At 53.9% G+C, this 23047-nt stretch overlaps 1 pseudogene across 1 annotated transcript; it reads left to right on the top strand.

Annotated features, from left to right (window-relative positions):
• Window positions 1-3590: 3590 nt before the first annotated feature.
• Window positions 3591-21863, top strand: GGT3P (gamma-glutamyltransferase 3 pseudogene; annotated as a pseudogene). Its single transcript, NR_003267.1, has 13 exons — window positions 3591-3779; window positions 4323-4493; window positions 7673-7807; window positions 7941-8021; window positions 13221-13413; window positions 13806-13963; window positions 16013-16162; window positions 16686-16822; window positions 20323-20510; window positions 20743-20869; window positions 20972-21084; window positions 21166-21279; window positions 21584-21863. The product of NR_003267.1 is annotated as a gamma-glutamyltransferase 3 pseudogene (transcript).
• Window positions 21864-23047: the final 1184 nt, after the last annotated feature.

The raw sequence follows: 23047 nt of genomic DNA, 5'->3' as shown, positions 1-23047 counted from the left end.
TCTTGAGTGGGAAACTCAAGGGTAGCCTGACTGTCCTTGTCACAGGTTTAGCTGGGCACTGTTAGTTCCCCCCTTTGTCAGTTTGTGGGAATCTGGGCATCAGGGATCTGTTTCAGCCCTTCACATTTGTATTTGGGTGTGCTCAGCTTAAAACGATAGCAGCCTGCAGGAGCTCAGCCCTGCCTCCATTTATGGAGGGAAGAGAAACTAAGGAATGCTCCTTGGGGTGGTGTTGGGGAGCAGCTACATGGGAAAATGAAGGGTGCAGCACCAGTAAAAAGGTGCTCCCAGGACTCCCTCCCACCAGCACTCGGACCAAGGAAGAAGCATTTAATTTCAGCCAGATTCCTAGATGGTTGCTTTTATTTGTTTTCATCTGAATTTGTGCCAAGGATTCAACTTTTCCTGCTTATTTTATTAAAAACTTTATACACAGCATTAATAAATAGATATAAAACTGCCGTATACATGACAAACAGAGGGGCTAAATGAAATTCCCAAGGGTCAGCTGTTGAATAAGTAACAAAAGCACATCTTGGCATGATCAAATTCCCATATATATGCAAATTAGGGACAGTGCTTTACCACAGAGTGTTTTAATTAATATTTATAAATCACAGAGTGCCTTTGAAAGGGCCAGTAAGCTGTTTATATTATTATCATGTCACACAAATAACAAACCCTTTGGAGATTGCTGCCTACTTTGCATTTTGGTCTGAGAAGTAAGTGAGCATGTTGCGTGTGTTTCTCTCCCTCGTAGGTGTGGTGTCAGCACAGCGGCAGGTCACCGTTCAGGAAGGACCCTTGTACCGCACGGAGGGCTCCCACATCACTATCTGGTGCAATGTGAGTGGCTACCAGGGACCTTCTGAACAGAATTTCCAGTGGTCCATTTACCTGCCTTCGTCGCCAGAGCGAGAGGTGCAGATCGTCAGCACCATGGACTCTTCCTTCCCCTATGCCATCTACACCCAGCGCGTCCGCGGAGGGAAGATCTTCATAGAAAGAGTCCAGGGGAACCCAACCCTATTGCACATCACAGATCTTCAGGCCCGGGATGCCGGGGAATATGAATGCCACACACCCAGCACCGAGAAGCAATACTTTGGGAGTTAACAGTGCAAAGATGAACCTAGTGGGTAAGGAGAAGCTGTCTTCACGTTGCCAGCGTCTGGCCTGACTCAGTTCTTTAGTAGTGTAATTTTGCTTTATGCCATGCATTTGACTTTAAAAAAAATCCCAAAACTCCCAGCATATTTTAGGGGTCAACAGATAGCACAAGGAAACTAAATTTCTGTGTTCACTTCTAAATAATAGGTGGTTGAGGGTGAAACTTTAAAAAGATCTAATGCAGATGTTAAGAATTTCGTAAGTTAACTAACCCTGTAACTGGTGAAAAGGGATATGAAAATATAAGGCAAGGACGTTTGTGGTTGATGATCTGAATGACAAGGAAGATGAGACGTATGACATCAGTTGGGAGAGAGGAGAAACCTCTCGGAAGGATAGGCCTTTGGGTAGCTCTGAGACCCACGGGGCACTGCTGAAGCAGGAAGCACATGTGGCTGCGGGTCCTTGCTCAGACCTTGTACATTGAAGGTCCTTTGGCTCCATGCGTAAGGAACTATGAACTGGCTGTCTCCCTTGTTGCTCCTTAATGCTGAAGGAAACATGAGGAAGAGGGATGCAGGAGCTTCCAGTGTGGGCAGCACTGGTCACAGTGTTTGCCAGTGTCAAAGGGTTAACCATATCAAGGCTGTTCTGTTTTTCTGCCTATATTAATGTCCAGTTTTTATTATCACAACTAAGCAGTGGGTGTTGCTAGTTCTTTTATTAATACACATACTATCATTTGTTTATTTTTCCTTTCTCTAACTAGTCTGTGTCCCAGCAGGAGACCTTTTTTTTCTTGTGTGTGTGTGTGTGTGTGTGTGACGGAGTTTCACTCTTGTGGCCCAGGCTGGAGTGCAGTGGTGCAATCTTGCCTCACTGCAACCTCCACCTCCCGGGTTCAAGCAATTCTCCTGCCTCAGCTCCTGAGTAGCTGGGATTACAGGCACCTGCCACCATGCCTGGCTAATTTTTTGTATTTTTAGTGGAGATGGGGGTTTCACCATGTTGGCCAGACTGGTCTCGAACTCTTCACCTCAGGTGATCCACCTGCCTCTGCCTTCCAAAGTGCTGGGATTATAGGCGTGAGCCACTGCACCCGGCCATGTGATGGGAATGTTCTGTGTCCATAATAGATGCTGCATATTGCTGGCCCAGCTCCTGAGGCTCTTTGGACCTCCAGGAATCGGTGTCTCTATCAGGAACCCTTAACCCTGACCCGGACTCCCAGCTGGGACCCAGGGTGTTGGAGTGGCAAGAGCGCTGTCAGGCCTGGTGAAGGGTGTGAGCTGTCCAACGGGGCAGGGAGGAGGCAGGGCCTGTTCTGCAGTTGGACAGACAGAGCCCTCTAGCTGCTTTCTGGAAGACTGAAGGGCAGGTGATGTTGGAGGGAGGGAGTGCAGGCGGGGGCTGTGAGGGAGTTCAGGTCAGAAACAGGTGGCGCCTGGATTCAGGCTGTGGTGGTCACGGTGGGGATGAGGGGCTGCTTTGGATTGTGCTGAGGATGTGGGGTGGTGCGCTGCTGCATGACTACTGCCAGGTCTCTCTGCTCTTGGTGTCTGCATCCAGGGCTGGGAGGGGGTCAAATGTATCACACTATCGGCCCCAGGCCCACCAAGCCTGGGGAGGTGGCCACCCTTCCATGATGGCATTTGGATGTTCCCTGTGTGTGGGGAGGGCACGGGGACTCCATTCATAGACCACCTCTGGGACAGTGTGTCTGCCTCTGAGGTCAGACGCTCTGCACTGGGACAGCGTGGAGTGGAGGGAAACCAAGCTTGGGGCTCATTGGAGGGGCTTGCTGGCAGACACCGCCCTTTGTGGGAAACTGACTGTGGGAGAGGGGAACCCCAACCTCTGTCACCACATCCCTCTTCCCTGTTGTCACACCTGTCACCTGCTGCCGTAGCCATGAGACTTCCCAAGGGTCACTGCTGCCACTCACTGCACAGCCTGGAAGGGAGTCCACAGGGGACATACAGTGAGCAAGAGACCTGTGCCACTCAGGCCTCCTGGGGGTGTCCCCAGTGCAGCCATGATGATAATCACAGCTACCATTCACCAAGCCCTGCCCACAGTCTAACCTACTCTATTCACAACACTCCCAGCAGCAAGGCAAGTGAGGTGCTGCCGTCATCCAGGCTGGACAGTTCAGTGATTTGCCTGAGGCCCCACAGCAGGTGAGTGGCAAGTCCAGCGTCAGAGCAGGGCAGGCTGGCGGTGCCCCCTGAGCCCCCTTTGCCATGCTTACCGCATGCACATCCTGGGCTTGTGCAGGAATGCCCTGTCCCCTACCTGCCCTGCTCCGTGCAAAACCCTGTGCCTGGGAGACATGCTGAGAGAATTCATGGAAACAAATGTGTTACTGACAGCCTCTTTGCCTCCAGAGTTCAACTGGAGACAGAGAAACCAGCTAGAGGCAGAGGGAGGTAACACGGAGTCCCCCAGAAAGGTCTGGGCTGTGCGTGCTTCAGGTAACCTCCCTTGACCTTCAGGAGAACGAGAAGGCTGCCTGATCAGAGAGTCTCTGAAGAAGATTCTGTGGCTACAGGCTTCAGCAGAGTGTGAGGGAGACCCCGGTTATTTCCTCAGCTGTTTCCACCAAATCCTCCTGTCTTTCGTGGCCAACACCCCAGGCAAGGCTTGGGGCCCCCGTCTGCTGCTGGACGGTAAGTCCTGGCCCCGTGGCAGTGAATCTGTGGGGCGCTCTGATTGTGGGCACTATGGAAGCTAAACCCCATGCTCCAGGTGGGGTGGAGGGTCTTCAGAGGACTCCTGGACAGTGCCAGGCTCTAGGCTGGGGTGGGGGACACAGGAGAAACCAGGCCAGGCCCATCCCTGCTGGAGCTTCTCCCTAAGCAGTGGAGGCTCAGCCACTGTGAGGAGGTAGGCCAGGCCCTGCAGAAAGAGGGGTGTGGAAATCTGGGGGCTCCCAGGAAGGGCCGCTGCTGGAGATGGGGTTCTTACCAGGATGGGCTCTGAAGATAAGCAGGGAGGATTTGGGAGGGCAGAGATGAGGCCCAGAGCTTCTGGCAGAGGGCATGGCCTGCGCAAAGGTCTGGGGGCCGGACAGCCTGCACGTATTCTGGGAAGCGGGAAGGAGACACAGGCCTTGTGTTTCTGAGGCCTGACTTTAGACTGTGCCCTGTTGGGGAGGGGCCAGGGCATGTCTGAGGCTGGGCCTGACCCTGCTCCTTACCCCGTGGGTGCAGCAGAGCCATGAAGAAGAAGTTAGTGGTGCTGGGCCTGCTGGCCGTGGTCCTGGTGCTGGTCATTGTCGGCCTCTGTCTCTGGCTGCCCTCGGCCTCCAAGGAACCTGACAACCATGTGTACACCAGGGCTGCCGTGGCCGCGGATGCCAAGCAGTGCTTGGAGATTGGGAGGTGAGCGGGGCAGGGCATGGGACATGGGCCCTGAAAACTGGGCAAGTGGACCTGAGCAATACCTTCACCCCTCTGAGACTCAGTTTCCCCACATGTAAGCTTCGCTTGGACTCTCTCAGTAGCCTTTGGGAAGGGGACGGTGACTCCGAGAGCAGGGTGTGGGTCTCTAGAGCCAAACAGGGCCCCTTTTCTCAGTTCTAAGAGTCTCTGTTTCTTTGGATAAACTCCACTGTTTTGTTGTTTGGTTGTTATTTTTACTTATTTCTTCCTATCTATCTATCTATCTATCTATCTATCTATCTATCTATCTATTATCTATCTATCTATCTATCTATCTATCTATCTATCTATCTATCTATATCTATTTAGAGATGGAGTTTTGCTCTGTTGCCAGGCTGGAGTGCAGTGGTGCAATCTCAGTTAACTGCAACCTCCGCCTCCCAAGTTAAAGCGATTCTCATGCCTAAGCCTCCCAAGTAGCTGGGATTATAGGAGTGCGCCACCACGCCCAACAAATTTGTGTGTGTGTATATGTGTGTGTGTGTGTGTGTGTGTGTGTGTTTTCTGAGACAGAGTATCGCTCTGTTACCCAGGCTGGAGGGCAGTGGTGCAATCTTGGCTTACTGCAGCCTCCACCTCCCAGGTTCAAGTGATTCTCCTGCCTCAGCCTCCACAGTAGCTGAGACTACAGGCATGTGCCACCATGCCCAGCTAATTTTTGTATTTTTAGTAGAGACAGGGTTTTGCTATGTTGGCCAGGCTGGTCTTGAACTCCTGACCTTGTGATCCTCCCACCTCTGCCTCTCAAAGTGCTGGGATTACAGGTGTGAGCCACTGCGCCTGGCCTAATTATGGTGTTTTTAGTAGAGATGGGGTTTCACCATGTTGGTCAGGCTGGTCTCGAACTCCTGACCTCAGGTAATCCACCCACCTGGGCCTCCCAAAGTGTTGGGATTACAGGTATGAGCCACCACGCCCGGCTTATTCTTTTCTTTTCTTTTCTTTTTTTTTTTTTGGTTAGGAGACAATTTCTTTCTTTCTTTTTTTTATTTTATTTTATTATTATACTTTAAGTTTTAGGGTACATGTGCACAATGTGCAGGTTTGTTACATATGTACACATGTGCCATGTTGGTGTGCTGCACCCACCAACTCGTCATTTAGCATTAGGTATATCTCCCAATGCCATCCCTCCCCCCTCCCCCCTCCCCCCAAGGAACGCTGTTGCCCAAACAGGGACATGAAGGGCTTATTCTTTTTTTAAGGTGGAGTCTTACTCTGTCACCCAGGCTGGAGTATAGGGGAGCGATCATAGCCCACTGCAGCCTCAAACTCTTGGGTTTAAGTGATCCTCCCGCCTCAGCTTCCTAAAGTGCTGGGATTACAGGTGTGAGCCATGGTGCCTGGCTTCTACTGTGTTATTCTATTTTAGACTCTTATCTCATGTTATATATAAAGATAAGTTCCCTCCTAAAGACTTAAACAGAAAAAATATTATGTTTTTCATATTTTGAGACAGGGTCTTGTTCTGTCACCCAGGCTGGAGTGCAGTGGCATGATCATAGCTCACTGCAGCCTTGAACTCTTGGGCTTAAGCGATCCTCTCACCTCAGCCCCCTGAGTAGCTAGGACTACAGGCGTGCATCATACCTGACTAATTAAAAAAGACTGTTTTGTAGAGATGGTCTCACTCTATTGCCCAGGCTGGTCTTGAACTCCTGGCCTCAAGTGATCCTCCACCTTGGCCTCCCAAAGTGCTGAGATTACAGGTGTAAGCCACCATCTCTAGCAGGGAAAAAAAAAATGTTATTAATAAAGTATAGCAATTTCCCTTTTTGTCCCAATTATAAAAGTCATGTACATTTGTTTGCTTAATAAAGAGGAAACTGTCTGGGCAAGGTGGTCCACACCTGTAATCCCAGCACTTTGGGGGGTTGAGGCGGGCAGACCACTGAGGTCAGGAGTTCGAGACCAGCCTGGCCAACATGGTGCACTCTGTCCCTACTAAAAATATAAAAAGTTAGCCGGGCATGGTGGTGTGCGCCTGTAATCCCAGCTACTCAGGAGGCTGAGGCAGGAGAATCGCTTGAACCCAGGAGGCAGAGGTTGCAGTGAGCTAAGATCATGCCACTGCACTCCAGCCTGGGCAACTGAGTGAAACTCTGTCTCAGAAAAAAAAAAAAAGAAAAAAGAAAAGAAAAAGAAGAAACTGTAATCCCAGCACTTTGGGAGGTTGAGGCGATAGGATTGCTTTAGACCATGAGTTTGAGACCAGCCTGGGCAACATAGAAAGACCCTATCTCTACGAAAAAGACAAAAAATTGCCCGGTGTGGTGGTTCTTACCTGTAGTCCCAGCTACTCAGGAGACTGAAGTGGGAGGATTGCTTGAGCCCAGGAGGTCAAAGCTGCATTGAGCCAAGACTGTGCCACTGCACTTCATCCTGGGTGACAAAGTGAGACCCTGTCTCATAAAACAAAGGCTGGGCACAGTGGCTCATGCCTGTAATACCAGCACTTTGGGAGGCCAAGGTGGGTGGATTACTTGAGCACAGGAGTTCTTGACCAGCCTGGGCAACATGATGAAACCCCATCTCTACAAAATACACAAACAAACAAAATTGGCTGGGCATGGTGGCATGTGCCCATAGTCCCAGCTACTTGGGAGGCTGAGATGGGAGGGTCAATTGAGCCCAGGAGACTGAGGCTGCAGTGATCCAAGATCACACCACTGCACTCCAGCCTGAGCAACAAAGAGAGACTTTGTCTCCAAAAAAAAAAAAAAAAAAAAAAAGAGGCCAAGGCAGGTGGATCATGAAGTCAAGAGATAGAGACCATCCTGGCCAACATGGTGAAACCCCGTCTCTACTAAAAATACAAAAATTAGCTGGGCGTGGTGGCATGCACCTGTAGTCCCAGCTACTCAGGAGGCTGAGGCAGGAGAATGGCTTGAACCCGGGAGGCAGAGGTTGCAGTGAGCTGAGATCGTGCCACTGCACTCCAGCCTGGCAATAGAGCAAGACTCCATCTCAAAAAAAAGAGAAAGAAACTAAAAACAAAAACCCCAAAACTCGAATGGACTTCTCTTCCATCCTCCTTTGGGCAGGTGGGCAGCAGGGTGTGTATGCGGGGCCAGGGTGGAAGCCTGCAGGTTCTCATGCCTTTATGTGCCACATGGCAGGGACACACTGCGGGACGGTGGCTCTGCAGTGGATGCAGCCATTGCAGCCCTGTTGTGTGTGGGGCTCATGAATGCCCACAGCATGGGCATCGGGGTTGGCCTCTTCCTCACCATCTACAACAGCACCACTCATGAGTGCCTCGGAAGCGGAGAGGGAGAGGGGCAGGGGGTGTGGGTTGGGCCGAGGCACAGCTGGGTGGCCCCCAGGCTCACGTGGCATAAAGGGTTTTGGTGGGTGGGCCTGCCTACCTGCTTCTTCTAGGAAAAGCTGAGGTCATCAATGCCCGCGAGGTGGCCCCCAGGCTGGCCTTTGCCAGCATGTTCAACAGCTCGGAGCAGTCCCAGAAGGGTAAGCCATGCGGCAGACTTGGGGCGTGGGTGCAGAGCTGGCTGAGCCACCGGGAAGGGGCCTTGCCCACAGGAGCCTGCTCCCGTCAGGGTTCAGGGGCAGTTCTAGCACCCCCCATCCCTTCCTGTCCCCATAGCACCCTCCCACAGTGAGTGGTCAGGACCATCATCACCATGGTAAAGGGCCGGGAGCTTCTGTTATTTCTGCTAAGGCCTCCGGGGCCACTCTGTGCAGCACATGGAAAGAATAATTATTATGCTAGCAGACCTCATGGATCAGGGCTCACTGGGGCCCATGCTCTGCTCTGTGCTTTTCACCCACGAGCCTCTCACAACCCTCCCTGCTCCTTTGGGCAAGGGGATGCTGTGTGGATTCCCATTTTACAGGGTGGGGATGCTGAGGCTCAGACAGGTCATGCAAATCAGCTGAGGTCACACAGCTGGGAGGTGGTGAAGCTAAAATTGAACCCAGGCTGTCTATATCCTGCCTTTTCAACAGGCATCCCATTCACTCATTTGTTCATTTGTGGGGATGGCGCTCTAGAATGTGAGGTGGAGTCTCTCTTTTCTAATCTGGTCTTAAGTGGGGAGGAGGCCCCCAAATTCCCCAGGTACCTGAGGGGAAGCCACTGTCCATCCAGGAAGCCACTGTCTGTCCCCAAAGGAGGCACAATAGAGTGTGAGATAAAAGTTGGAGGATGGGAGGGTCTCAACAACTCACACCTCTAATCCTAGCACTTTAGGAGGCCAAGTCAGGAGGAGCGCATGAGCCCAGGAGACCTGCCTGGACAACATAGCAAGACTCCATCTCTACAAAAAATGGAAAAAAAAATTAGCTAGGTATGGCGGTGTGTGCTTATGGTCCCAGTTACTCGGGAGGCTAAGGTGGGAGGATCACTTGAGCCCAGGAGGTTGAGGCTGCAGTCAGCCATGATTATACCACTACACTCTAGCTTGGGCAACAAAGTGAGACCCTGTCAAAAAAAAAAAAAAAAAAAGGCTGGGCCTTTTTTTCACAGGCTCACGCCTGTAATCCCAGCACTTTGGGAGGCTGAGGCAGATGGATCACCTAGGTCAGGAGTCCAAGACCAGCCTGGCCAACATAGTGAAACCCTTTCTCTACTAAAAGTACAATAATTAGTCGGGCGTGGTGGCACAGGCCTGTAATATCCCAGCTACTCAGGAGGCTAAGGCAGGAGAATCGCTTGAACCCACGAGGTAGAGATTGCTGTGAGCCGAGATCATGCCACTGCACTCCAGCCTGGGCAACAAGAACGAAGCTCCGTCTCAAAAAAAAAAAAAAAAAAAAAAAGTTGGAGGATGGAGGGGCAGGACACACTCACCATAGCAGGTCTTAGACTTCAGGTGGGGGTCCTGGGTGGTGCCCTTTGGAGTCTTCTGCAACATACTCAATCTTTGATTTTTTTTTTCTTTTTTTTTTTTTGAGACGGAGTCTCACTCTGTCGCCCAGGTTGGAGTGCAGTGGTGCGATCTCAGCTCACTGCAAGTTCCGCCTCCTGAGTTCACGCCATTCTCCTGCCTCAGCCTCCCGAGTAGCTGGGACTACAGGCGCCCGCCACCACACCCGGCTAATTTTTTGTATTTTTTAGTAGAGACGGGTTTTCACTGTGTTGCCCAGGCTGGTCCCTCGATCTCCTGACCTCGTGATCCCCCTGCCTCAGCCTCCCAAAGTGCTGGAATTACAGGCGTGAGCCACTGTGCCCGACCAATCTTTCATTTGTTTTTAATACTCACTGAGAAACTCAGCATCTGTAGACATGAAGTTGCTGAGGGTAAGAGAATGCGGGAATCATAGGCTTGGCACCTTGTGGACGCTTAAAACCATTTATTTGACTAGAATGTATTGAGCATTGTCTTAAAGAATCAGCTGTTGTTCCTGAAGCTGGGGTGAAAAACAAAGACGGCAGATGAAATCTGTGACACTCCAGGTGGGAGGAGAAACTAGGCAAGTGCGGGTGTGTTACGGGCTGTAGAAAAACAGACCTGGAGGGCCTCAAAATCTGGGACTCTATGGAGGGTGACCTAGTCAGGGAAGGGGACATCTGAGCAAAGACCCAGAGGCAGAGATGGGGTCAGGGGAGTTATCTCCTGGTCTGCTATCCAGGTGTGATGGCAGGGACAGAGCCCTGTGGGGAGCTGGGGAGGCTGCAGCAAGTGATCCAAGGGGAATGGCCCAGGTTGTGCGGGATCTCTTAGGTTATGGTGAAGCCTCTGCTTCCTGTCTGAGGGAAGTGGGGGCTCGTGGAGTGTGTGACTGGAAGGGGATGGATCTGGTCTATGGACCCCTTGGATTGCTGTGTAAGGGGCAGGGAGCATGTGGGGACCTGTCCGGAGGTCACTGCAGTAATTCGTGGAGAGGGTGCTGGGAAGTGGCTGACGCTGCACAGACACACTTGGAAGTGGAGCCTGTGGATTTGAGGATGGGTTGGGTGTGACGCTTGTGTAGGGAGTCCCCGGGGACCCCTGATCTTTTGTCTGTACCTGGAAGGATGGGGTGACCCTAATGGAGACAGGCAGGGTTCTCAGGAAGCAGGTTGAGCAGACACTCAGGAGCTCGGTTTTGGGCACGTTGAAGTTTGAGATGCTTTCTTCAAGCAGGCAGGTAGATCCTCAGGTCTGGTGATCGGAGGAGCAGTCCAGGCCAGCAGGTCAATTTGAGAGTTGTCAGTGCATAAATGGAGGCTGAAGCTCAGATGTCAAGCAGACCACCAGGAGAGAGAGCAAAGACAGAGGGGAGAGTAGGAGCTAGGATGGCAGGCGGGGGAGACTCGGGTGGAGCCAGGTGCTGGGATGCAGGGGCGGCTCTCAGGGAGAGTGATGAGCCCAGTAAAGCTGAGAGGGGGCACTGGGTCTGGCAGTGTGGGGGTCACCAGAGAACTTGGCAAGTGTGGTGGCATGAGAGCCTGATTGGGCTGAGGTCAGGAGGAGATTTTTTTCTGATATTGATACATGATATTTTCTATATTTATGGGTACATGTGAGTGCTTGTTCCATGCATAGAGTGTATAATGATCAAGGCAGGGTATTTGGAGTCTCCGTCACCTTGAATATTTTTCATTTCTGGGTGTTAGCACCATAGTGCTCTCTTCGTTACTTTGAAATATACAAAATACTGTTGCTAAGCATCGTCACCCTGGTCTGCTATCAAAGATTAGAACTTCTCCTGTCTTGGCTGGGCACGGTGGCTCACGCCTGTCATCCCAGCACCTTGGAAGGCTGAGGTGGGTGGATGACCTGAGGTCAGGAGTCTGAAAACAGCCTGGCCAACATGGCAAAACCCCATCTGTACTAAAAATACAAAAATTAGCCTGGCGTGCTGGCCTGTGCCTGTAATCCCAGCTACTCGGGAGGCTGAGGCAGGAGAATCGCTTGAACCTGGGAGGCGGAGGTTATAGTGAGCTGAGATCATGCCACTGCACTGCAGTCTGGGAGACAGAGCAAGACTCCATCTCAAAAACAAACAAAGAAAAAAAAAACAAAACAAAAAAGAACTTCTGTCTAACTACAAGGTGGAAGGAATCATATGCTGGGTGTCAGACCTTCCGGGATATATGTGCAGCTTCTAGGAATTGAAACCACCAGCTCTTGGAAACTTGTGCCAGGCTTCAGGGTGGGAGAGGCAGTTCTAGAGCCACAGCCGCCAAGCCAAGGCAAATGGCCCCATCATCTCTCGCAAGAGCAGGAGAGTCCCTGGGGGCAGAGGCCATAGTTGTACCTTTCTGGGCAAAGGGTCAGTGTCTGTAGTGTCCATATGGGCAGTGGGGCTCGGGGGGAAGCAGGCCCAGGGGTCTGTTTCCAATGACCTCCTCAAAAGTCAGAACTGGAAGGCAAAACCCCTTATAGGCTGAGTGCACCTGTAATCCCAGCATGTTGGGAGGCTGAGGTGGGAGGATTGCTTGAGGCCAGAGTTTGAGACCAGTCTTGGCAACGTAGCAAGACCCCTGTCTCTACAAAAAATAAAAATAAAAAATTAGGCTGGGAGTGGTGGCTCACGCCTGTAATCCCAGAACTCTGAGAGGCTGAGGAGGATGGATCACCTGATGTTAGGAGTTCAAGACCAGCCTGACCAACCTGGTGAAACCCCGTCTCTACTAAAAATACAAAAATTAGCAAGGCGTGGTGGTACATGCCTGTAATCCCAGCTACTTGGGAGGCTGAGGCAGGAGAATTACTTGAACTCGGGAGGTGGAGGTTGGAGTGAGCCAAGATTGTGCCATTGCACTCCAGCCTGGGCAACAAGAGTGAAACTCCATCTCAGAAAAAAAAAAAAAAAAAAGCCACGTGCAGTGGGGTATGTCTGTAGTCTTAGGTACTTCAGAGGCTGAGGTGGGAGGATCGCTTGAGCCTGGGAAGCCAAGGCTGCAGTGAGCCATGATTGCACCACTGCACTCCAGCTGGGACAACAGAATGAGACCCTGGTCTCAAAACAGACAAACAAACAAAAACCCTTATAGTTGGATGCAGAAACTGAGGCTGGGAGAGGGGACAGGACGGAGATTAAGGCTCAGTCTTGCCTCTCTGGGGCAGTAGAAAAGAGGCAGGGAGCCCTTTCTTGGGGCTGGCTGTGTCTTGAAGGTGGCCTGTGCTTGACCTCGGTCAAGGTGGGATCTGCTCTTGTTTTGGCACATTCTGGTGGAGCCCATGAGTCTTACAGGATAAGGCCTTGTGGTCAGCGAGATGGGAGGGGGTCTGGCCTGGCACAGGATTTTAGACATGCAGGCACCTGCACAGACAGACACCTCATCCTGGGACAGCAAAACCCAGCCGCATGCTACTGCTTCCCCTGCTGTGCCCTCCTCAGACATCCCTGGTCCATGTACACTCCTACCTGCTGAGCCCCTCCTAAAAAAAAAAATTAAACATCCCCTCCTAAAAAAAAACAATTAAAATTAAAAAATAAATTTAAAAATTAAAAATCCCCTTCTGCTAGGTGTGCTGTTCACACCTGTAATCTCAGCGACTCAGGAGGCTGAGGTGGGAGGATTGCTTGAATCCAGGAGTTCGAGATTGGGCTGGGCAAGATGGCAAGACCCCAACTCAAAAAAGAAAAAAAAATCTTTCCTCCTAAGCCTCATTGCCCCATCTGTAAAGCGAGTCAGGGACTGTGCCTGGGATGCTGCCTGCGAGAGATCCCGATGTCCCCCACTCAGGGTCACTAACTGTGGCTCTCTCTCCCCAGGAGGGCTGTCGGTGGCGGTGCCTGGGGAGATCCGAGGCTATGAGCTGGCACACCAGCGGCATGGGCGGCTGCCCTGGGCTCGCCTCTTCCAGCCCAGCATCCAGCTGGCCCGCCAGGGCTTCCCCGTGGGCAAGGGCTTGGCGGCAGTCCTGGAAAACAAGCGGACCGTCATCGAGCAGCAGCCTGTCTTGTGGTATGTCTGTGGGTGCGGCCCCCTGACACAGGCAGGGCAGGCACAGCCCAAGGACCTTGCAGGCCGTAGCAGCAGTGGAGCGGCCCTCTGCCTTCAGGACCCTGTGCTGATAATGGGATGAGGAGATACAGACCCTTCCCACCACGTGTGGGGACACATTCTGAGCGTGGGGTCCCAGTGGCCACTGTGGCTGGCCACGTGTCCTGAGTGGCAAGGGACACTAGGAGGCTCCCGGAAGGGACACTAGGAGGACGAGCGCTGAGTGACAGGGCCACCCACCTGTGACAGGCGCTGCCCCTGTTCTGCTCCGTTCTCCTGTGTGGGCAGGTGTGGGGGGTGGTCTAGCTGAGTCCACCCCACCTGCTGCCTCACATGAGCCCCCTCTGCCCCAGTGAGGTGTTCTGCCGGGATAGAAAGGTGCTTCGGGAGGGGGAGAGACTGACCCTGCCGCGGCTGGCTGACACCTACGAGATGCTGGCCATCGAGGGTGCCCAGGCCTTCTACAACGGCAGCCTCATGGCCCAGATTGTGAAGGACATCCAGGCGGCTGGTGAGTGGGTAACCTCAAGGACCTGGGTGAGGAACTCTGCAGTGGAAACCCTGAGCTGTAGCCCAGAGCCATGGGGTCCTCCTGTCTTGCCTGAGCCTGCAGGAAGTTCCTGGTGGAGGAGGGTCAGTGACTGGCCATGTGGGTCCACAGCTCCTGCTTATATCAAAACCAAGAGAGGCCACACAGTCCAGGAGAGCAAGTCCCTGTTGGGGTAAATGCAGGTGTAGGCAAGAGCCAGGGCTAGGGAAGCACTAGAATACAGCCTGAAGATCCAGGAGGACTTCTTGGAGGAGGTGGCGGCTGGGCTGCAGATAACTTCGTTAGGCAGAGAGAGGAAGGGATTCCTAGCAGAGGAACAGCTGGGCTAAGGCCCAGTAGAGGGCGCTTTGATTCACCAAGAGGGTTACAAGGGATGAGGGTCGCCTTGAGAGAGGCATGGGGAAGGGGATTTGTGGGGCAGGGGCCTGGAGCTTGGCTGTGGCTTTCTTCAGGTAATTTTTGTCACTGTTTCATGGAGGAGGGTGATTAGCGTGTCGACCTTTACCACTGAGGCTGGAAATTGGCATGCCAATACCCTGTCTGGAGCTGACTCCAGGAGAATTAAGAGCCTCCCTCCCTCCCTCTATCCATTCATCGTGAGGAGAAGAGGCCAAGCAGCAGGGACACCGGCAGGAATTCTCCAGTTAGAAAAGGCCCTCTGAGCCAGGTGCGGTGGCTCACGTCTGTAATCCCAGCACTTTGGGAGGCCGAGGCGGGTGGATCACCTGAGGTCAGGAGTTCAAGACCAGCCTGGCCAACATGGTGAAACCCTGTCTCTACTAAAAATGCAAAATTAGTCAGGCATGGTGGGTTGTGCCTGTAATCCCAGCTACTTGGGAGGCTGTGGCAGGAGAATCGCTAGAACCTGTGGGGCTGAGGTTGCAGTGAGCCGAGATTGCACCACTGCACTCCACAGAGTGAGACTCCATCTCAAAAAAAAAAAAGAGAGAAAAGGCCCTCTGAGGCCAAGCTTGGTGTCTCATGCCTGTAATCCCAACACTTTGGGAGCCTGAGGTAGAAGTTGAGGTCAGGAGGTCCAAGACAAGCCTGGGCAACATAGTGAGTCTACAAAAAAAATATTGAGAATCTACATAAATATAGTGGGGGTGGGGGTGGGGAACAAGAAAACAAAAAATTCAAAGCATAGTGAAAAGAAATATAGCAAAACCCGGCCGGGCATGGTGCCTCACGCCTGTAATCTCAGCACTTTGAGAGGCCGAGGCGTGTGGATCACGGGGTCAGGAGATCGAGACCATCCTGGCTAACACAGTGAAACCTGTCTCTACTAAAAATACAGAAAAATTAGCCACATGTGGTGGCGGGTGCCTGCAGTCCCAGCTACTTGGGAGGCTGAGGCAGGAGAATGGCGTGAACCTGGGAGGCGGAGCTTGCAGTGAGCCGATATCGCGCCACTGCACTCCAGCCTGGGCGATAGAGCGAGACTCCGTCTCACAAAAAAAAAAAAAAAAGAAAGAAAGAAATATAGCAAAACACAACAAAAAAATTAAAATTTGCTGGGTGTAGTTGTGCCTTTAGTCTCAGCTACTGGGGAGGGTCTGCTGGAGGATCACTTGAGCCCAGGGGTTCAAGGCTGTGATTAAGCCACTGCACTCCAGCCTGGGTAACAGAGCAAGATCGTATCTCTAAAAAAAAAAAGAAAAAAGAAAACACTCTCTGGCCACAGATGAGAGAAGGCAGACAGGAAGCCAGTAAGCCAAGCAGGCAGAGGGCAGGTGGCCCCAGCCCAGCTGTCGGGTGGTGAGCAGTGTCAGGGAGACAGGAGTGCCGGAGCTGGTGAGGTTCCCAAGGAGGTGAGGTTGCCTGTGGCCCCCTCCCAGGGCACAGTCCCACCCCTCCAGTAGTGCACTCTGTCCTCCCTGGTAGGTACAGGCTTTTCCCCACCACCATGGTGCAGCCATGCCTGCCCCCAACACCACTGGTGCAGCTCCATCCTCCACGCAGTGGTGCAGCCCCATCCCAGCGCCCATTCGAGCTGCTGTCCCATTGCAGGGGGCATTGTGACAGCTGAGGACCTGAACAACTACTGTGCTGAGCTGATCGAGCACCCGCTGAACATCAGCCTGGGAGACGCGGTGCTGTACATGCCCAGTGCGCGGCTCAGCGGGCCCGTGCTGGCCCTCATCCTCAACATCCTCAAAGGTGAGTGGTCGCACCACAGCCGTGTGGTAGGACCCATGACACTGCCTCTCTCTCCCCACGCCCCACCCCTCCTGCATCTCTGCTCGCCCCCCATGCCACGTCTTTCCATCACTGAGCTCCTGAGGTGTGTCCCTGCGTCACAGCTCACCATGTCCTGAAGGAGGCAGTGCAGAGCAACAGGGCTGAAGCGGGCAATGCTCAAGGGTTGGAGGAGGAACAGGAGTCATCAGGAGGGAGAGAGGTGCAGGAGCTCAGGGCTGCAGGGCCGGTCCAGAGGGTACCCCAGTCCAGTGGGTGACCCTGCCACTTGGTCATTGAATGGCCAGAGCTGATGCGTGACGTGAGGTCCAGGCTCGGGAGCCCTCACCTTACTTCACTCTCACCACAGCCTTCTGAAGCAGCTGCTGCTATTGATTATTAAACGCTCCTTGAGGTGGGCAAAGTGGCTCAGGCAGGTGTTAACCCTCTGAGCCCCTCAGAGCCTCTGGGGCTCAGCAACATGCACCTGGCTCTGATCAACCAGGGTACAACTTCTCCCGGGAGAGCGTGGAGACCCCCGAGCAGAAGGGCCTGACGTACCACCGCATCGTAGAGGCTTTCCGGTTTGCCTACGCCAAGAGGACCCTGCTTGGGGACCCCAAGTTTGTGGATGTGACTGAGGTAAGGGGCAGGGGCTGGCCCACTGTGGGTGTGGGGCCTGCCGTAGAGGCATCAGGTGGGCTCCCCAGGGTGGCTACAGCCTCACATATGCTTTATGAATCCATTCCTGCCACAGAATTTGATTGCGGGCCTACTGTGTGCTCGGATGGACTTGTGGGTGACCCCCAGTCTTGGCTTCTGCCCCACAGAACTGACAGTGTGGGGAATTAGTGGCCACCCTCCTACCTCAGGTCCTTTGCACATGCTGTGGTTCTTGAGTGCTCAGTGCTGAGATGAGGAATGCATGGGGGCATTGCAGCCCTCGGGCATGGTGAGATGGATGGGTGAAAGGGAGAGGGCCAGGTGAACAGAGACCTCGGCCACCCACTCCCTGTCACTCCAAACTAACGCTTCCCAGATGCCACCCTCAGCCCTGCACCACCTGACCCACTCACCCAGTAGTTGCCCCAGCTCCATGCTGGGTCCCTATAAGACCCTGTCATATCCCTTCCCGCTGAGGATCCTCACATCCCTCCTTACCTACTTGGGTCCTTGGCATTCCTGGGCGGATCTGCAGACCCCCCCACACTGACCAGTGACCTCCCAGGAGGGGCGTCAGCTGCCCGGGTGGTGTCTTCTCTTTCCCTGTGAGCATTCTGCACCTCTGACTCCCGCTGCAGCCAGTGACCTGGTGTCTTGTCTCTCTGAGGGGACAGAGCCACTGCAGCGTGTCCCTCTGCCCTCCTTTTTGGCTAAGGCCAGCTCCTTCATCTACTCGCTGGCTCGGGGTGCTGTTCCTACAATGCTCCTGTCTGCCTCTGATGATTTATTTCTTTATCACGGATTATTCCCAAAAAAAAGGCAGCTGTTGTTGCTCTAGAAACTTCTATCTGCTGCCTCCTTCTGTCCTTTGCTCCTCTTAGAGCAAACATGGCTGGGCTATGTCCTCTCTCCCTTCAGGGTATCCCCTCCCCTGCTCTATCCCCATGCCACCAGATCGCCATGTCCAGCCTCAGTTTCCCCATCAGGCCCCACTCAGCAGCATCTCACACAGCTCACCACACTCTCCTCGAGTTTTCATTTTGCAAATTTTCGCACCTACAAAAATGTAAAAAAAACCCAAAACTGCCCAAGCATCAATGTTCCCTTTTCCTGGATTCTGCAGTGTGGACATTTCTGCCGGATTTCCTAACTCTCTCCGTCTCCACCCACATCTATTGGGATTCGTGTTTTTCTGAGGGATTCCACAGTAGGTTACTGATGTCGCACCTCAGGGTGTGTCTCAAAAGTGAGACTTGAACATAGCACAGCAGGATGTCGGGGTGACACAACCTGCTGTCCCTTCTCTTTACCTACAGTAGGCTCCCTTGGCTGTTTTGTTTTTGTTGTGTTTTTGTTTGTACACAGAGTCTCTGTCATCCAGGTTGGAGTGCAGTGGTGTGATCTTGGCTCACTGCAGCCTCAACCTCCAGGGCTCAAGCAATCCTCCCACTTCAGCCCCCTGAGCAGCTGGGACCAGAGGCAGGTGCCACCAAACCTGGATAATTTTTGTATTTTTTTTAGAGACAGGGTCTTGCCCAGACTGGTCTCAAACTCCTGGGATCAAACTGTCTTCCCACCTCAGCCTCCCAAAGCGCTGGGATTACAGGTGTGTTTTTTCTTTGAGACGGAGTCTCGCTCTGTTGCCCAGGCTGGAGTGCAGTGGTGCTATCTCGGCTCACTGCAAGCTCTGCCTCCTGGGTTCACGCCATTCTCCTGCCTCAGCCTCCCGAGTAGCTGGGACTACAGGCGCCCGACACTGCGCCCAGCTAATTTTTTGTATTTTTAGTAGAGACGGGGTTTCACCGTGATCGCGATCTCCTGACCTCGTGATCCGCCTGCCTCGGCCTCCCAAAGTGCTGGGATTACAGGCATGAGCCACCGTGCCTGGCCTGTTTTGTTGATTTTTAAAGCCCAGGGCAGTAGTCTTGGAAAATGTCCCACATCGTGGATTTGCCTTTCTGTTTCCTTGAGGGCAGATTCAGACAGAACACCTTTCCCTGGGATTGGTCAGCTAATCCGTGGGGTGTTGCTGAAACTTTATTTTATTTTATTTTATTTTTGAGACGGAGTCTCGCTCTGTCCCCCAGGCTGTCCCCCAGGCTGGAGTGCAGTGGCGGGATCTCGGCTCACTGCAAGCTCTGCCTCCCAGGTTCACGCCATTCTCCTGCCTCAGCCCCCCAAGTAGCTGGGACTACAGGTGCCCACCACCGCGCCCAGCTAATTTTTTGTATTTTTAGTAGAGACGGGGTTTCACTGTGTTAGCCAGGATGGTCTCGATCTCCTGACGTCATGATCCGCCCTCCCAAAGTGCTGGGATTACAGGCCTCGGCCTCCCAAAGTGCTGGGATTACAGGCGTGAGCCACCGCGCCCGGTGTTGAAACTCTCTTGAGGCATTTTCTTCGGCCTTCGGGTCCATCCTCTCTGTCTCCTCTTTGACCTCCTCATCTCCTCCTCGCCACTGCCTTGGGGACCTTGGCCAGGCTCATGGCATCCAGCAGCCACTCAATGTCAATACCTCCATGTTCATCTCTCAGCCCGCCCTTGCCCGTGAACCCATGCTTATTTATTTATTTTTTTTATACGTGCACCCATGCTCTTTGGGTCTGATGAAGTATCCAAAATCAAGCTCCTGACCATCCCCAAACCGGCCCCTTCTGCCGGCCTCGCTAGTCGGCACCATGCTTGATTCTTCTCTTTCTCCCACCCAGGCCATCATCTCTTGCCTGGTTGATACCCACAGCCTCCCCTTTGGGCTTTATCCTTATCCCCGTCATAGCTGCCAGAGGGACCCTGTGAAAACACTCCCCAGCCTCCTCATTCCTCTGCCCTAAGCCTGCATGGCACAGAGCAAAAGCCAGTTGTTATGGGACCTAGGAGGTCCTGTGGGATGGGCCCCAGCCTGCATCTTCATCCTCTTCTCCCCACCCTACTCCATTCACTCTCTGCCTATCGCTCACCAGCCTATGCCACCTGCCTCAGGGCCTTTGCACTGACCATTTAGGCCACTTTCCAGGCTCTTTTCACACGTTGCCTCCTCTGAGAAGCCCTCCCTGACCACTCTGCCCATACCTCATGCCTCTTGATTCCCCTTACCTGGCCTGTGGTTTCAGCACTTTCCCTGTGTGTGTTTGTTTTTCTTGGCATGAGGGCAGGACTTAAGTGTCTGTTCCCTGTTGATTCCCCAGTGCCAGGCATGCAGTGCAAATTCTAGAAATATTTTTTGCATGAAAGAATGAGTGATTGAATGTGGCAAGGGTCTGGAGGCTGAGGACCAGGCAGACAGACATTCAGAGTTGCTGGAACGCGACAGAGACAGGGAGTCAGACTGGTCATGCAAGGTCCTGGGCCTGCCCTTGGGTCCTGGGGAGCCACGGAAGGTTGTGGGTGCCAGAGGGTTGCGGTCAGAGTCACAGTCAAGGGCCTTCTGAGACCTGTGCCCCCTCCCCACCTCCTCAGGCCAGCTCTGGGGTCTCAGCAGGTGGTCCGCAACATGACCTCTGAGTTCTTCGCTGCCCAGCTCCGGTCCCAGATCTCTGACCACACCACTCACCCGATCTCCTACTACAAGCCCGAGTTCTACACGCCGGATGACGGGGGCACTGCTCACCTGTCTGTCGTCGCAGAGGACGGCAGTGCTGTGTCCGCCACCAGCACCATCAACCTCTAGTAGGGGCTGCTGGGCCGCCTGGGTGGGAAAGGGCCAGGGGCGGGTGGCCCAGGGACTGCCCACTTATCCAGTAAGGTGGCTCCATCACCTCTTTTCCTGGTGGGAAACTGAGGCCCAACCTTGGTAGCTTATCCTGGGCCTCTCAGTGAGTATGTTTGAGCCTCAGTGGGTGGATAGGGACCAGGCTGGGCCAGGCAAGGTCGGGTGCTGTCTGACCTGGCTGGGCGGTAGCTTTGGCTCCAAGGTCTGCTCCCCGGTCAGTGGGATCCTGTTCAATAATGAATGGACGACTTCAGCTCTCCCAGCATCACCAATGAGTTTGGGGCACCCCCCTCACCTGCCAATTTCATCCAGCCAGGTATGGGGTGGAGGTCCGGGGGGTGGGGGACTGGGGTGGAGAGGGGCGGGTGTCCTGGGCAGGCAGCTGACGGGCATCCCTGTCTTCTCCCATCGGCCGCAGGGAAGCAGCCGCTCTTGTCCATGTGCCCGACGATCATGGTGGGCCAGGACGGCCAGGTCCGGATGGTGGTGGGAGCTGCTGGGGGCACGCAGATCACCACAGACACTGCACTGGTATGTGTCACCCCTTTTCTCCCTGGCCCTGCCCACTCTGCACAGCCCCCAAGCCACGCTGATCACACTCCCATGCCCCAGGCCATCATCTACAACCTCTGGTTCGGCTATGACGTGAAGAGGGCCGTGGAGGAGCCCCGGCTGCACAACAAGCTTCTGCCCAACGTCACGACAGTGGAGAGAAACATTGACCAGGTGGGCCGGGGGTTGGAGAAACTGAGTCACGGTGTGGGGTCCCAGGGCATCCTGGGCTGGAGGCCTGGATCATCACAGAGTGGACAATGGTTGGTGTCCTCTCTCTAGTGCCTGGGCCATCTGGAGCCCCTGTGACATGAGGGCCAAGCCCCCTGCTCCAGTGAGACCCAGCAGGCCCCAACCTGCTCTTCCTGATGACCTGGCCTGAAATGGCACCACCTGGGCTGAGGCCTGTGACCACACAGGTGTGGTTCAGGTGGCATCTGGAGCCCTGCTCAGGCTTCCCCTCTCCTCCCACCCCCAGGCAGTGACTGCAGCCCTGGAGACCCGGCACCATCACACCCAGATCGCGTCCACCTTCATCGCTGTGGTGCAAGCCATCGTCCGCACGGCTGGTGGCTGGGCAGCTGCCTCGGACTCCAGGAAAGGCGGGGAACCTGCTGGCTACTGAGTGCTCCAGGCAGACAAGGCTGACAAGCAATCCAGGGACAAGATACTCACCAGGATGAGGAAGAGGACTTTGGGGGACGGGCTTCCCCTGTGAGCAGCAGAGCAGCATAATAAATGAGGCCACTGTGCCAGGCTCCAGGTGGCCTCCCTGGCCTGTCTCCCCACTCTCTGGGCCTCAGTGTATTGTGTGTGAAATGGAGCCATCTGGCTGGGGAGGAACAGAGAGGTGGGATTCGGAGATCTTCACAATGCGGGCACTGGAACTAGCCTCAGCATCTTCAGCATGGGGAGAGCAAGGCACATGGCTGGGGGCCAGGGGAAGGTTCACACCAAACCCTGCCCCTTCCCACCCTGATCCCTCAGACTTTGGGGCCAGGCCCTCCCTTACTGGGGCTGGGCAGTGACACTACCTAGGATCAGCCACCAGGGGGTGTCACGACCCTGGCGCTTTCTTAGGCAGAGGGTGGCCAGCCGATGCTGGGAACCCGGGCGCCTTCTCAGACCCGTAGGCGTCCAGCTCACCCTGCCGATGACACTGGAGGTGAAGCTGAGGGTCCGAGGAATGGGGACTGGGCAACAGGCTGGAGGAAAACATCTCGGTCAGAGCCATGCCCCTGGGGGGTTCCCAAGAGCAAGCCCAGAGTGAAACCCAAGCTTGTGATCCTCTCCAGAGGGAGGCCTGGTTCTCAGGGAACAGCAAACGGGAAGATGTCCCCAGATCCCAGGGATCAGGGCTTGGACCAGCCGGGGACGCAGCCCAGAGGGAGTGGGTCCGGAAGGAAACAGCTCGACACAGCAGCCTTCACCATTGGCAGCCCCTCCAGGCCTCCCTCGGGGCCTGCTCCCTCCTCTGTGCACAGTTCCAACACCTGGAGCAGGGTTCTGGGAAGGGCTGGTGGAGGTGGGCTGGTGGGAGGCGGTGATCACAGCCCAGCACCTGGATATCACCAGGGGCACTGGGGCCAGGGGCCAGGTGAGGCCAGGTCGGGGCTATCCTTCAGGAGCCCCGAAAACCTGGTGATTCCAAAGGGCCCATAGACAAACAGGGTTTTATGCCTGTGGAGTCAAGTCCCACTGGGTCTGAGCTCTGGAGGGCTGTGTCTCTGGGGCTCTGCAAGGGTGAGATGGAGGTGGGCTCAACTGGTGTACAAGTCACTCTTCAATCCTTATTTTATTTATTTAATTTTTTTTAAAAAAATTTAAACCAATAGAGATGGGGTCTCACTATGTTGACCAGGCTGGTCTTAACTCCTGACTTCAAGCAGTCCCCCCATCTCAGTCTCCCAAAGTGCTAGGATTACAGGGGTAGCCACTGCAC

This window comes from Homo sapiens, chromosome 22 (genome assembly GCF_000001405.40).
Source record: "Homo sapiens chromosome 22, GRCh38.p14 Primary Assembly".
Classification (NCBI taxonomy): Eukaryota; Metazoa; Chordata; class Mammalia; order Primates; family Hominidae; genus Homo; species Homo sapiens.
The sequence above is the reverse complement of the archived record's forward strand: the minus strand, read 5'-3'. Positions and strand labels throughout refer to the sequence as shown.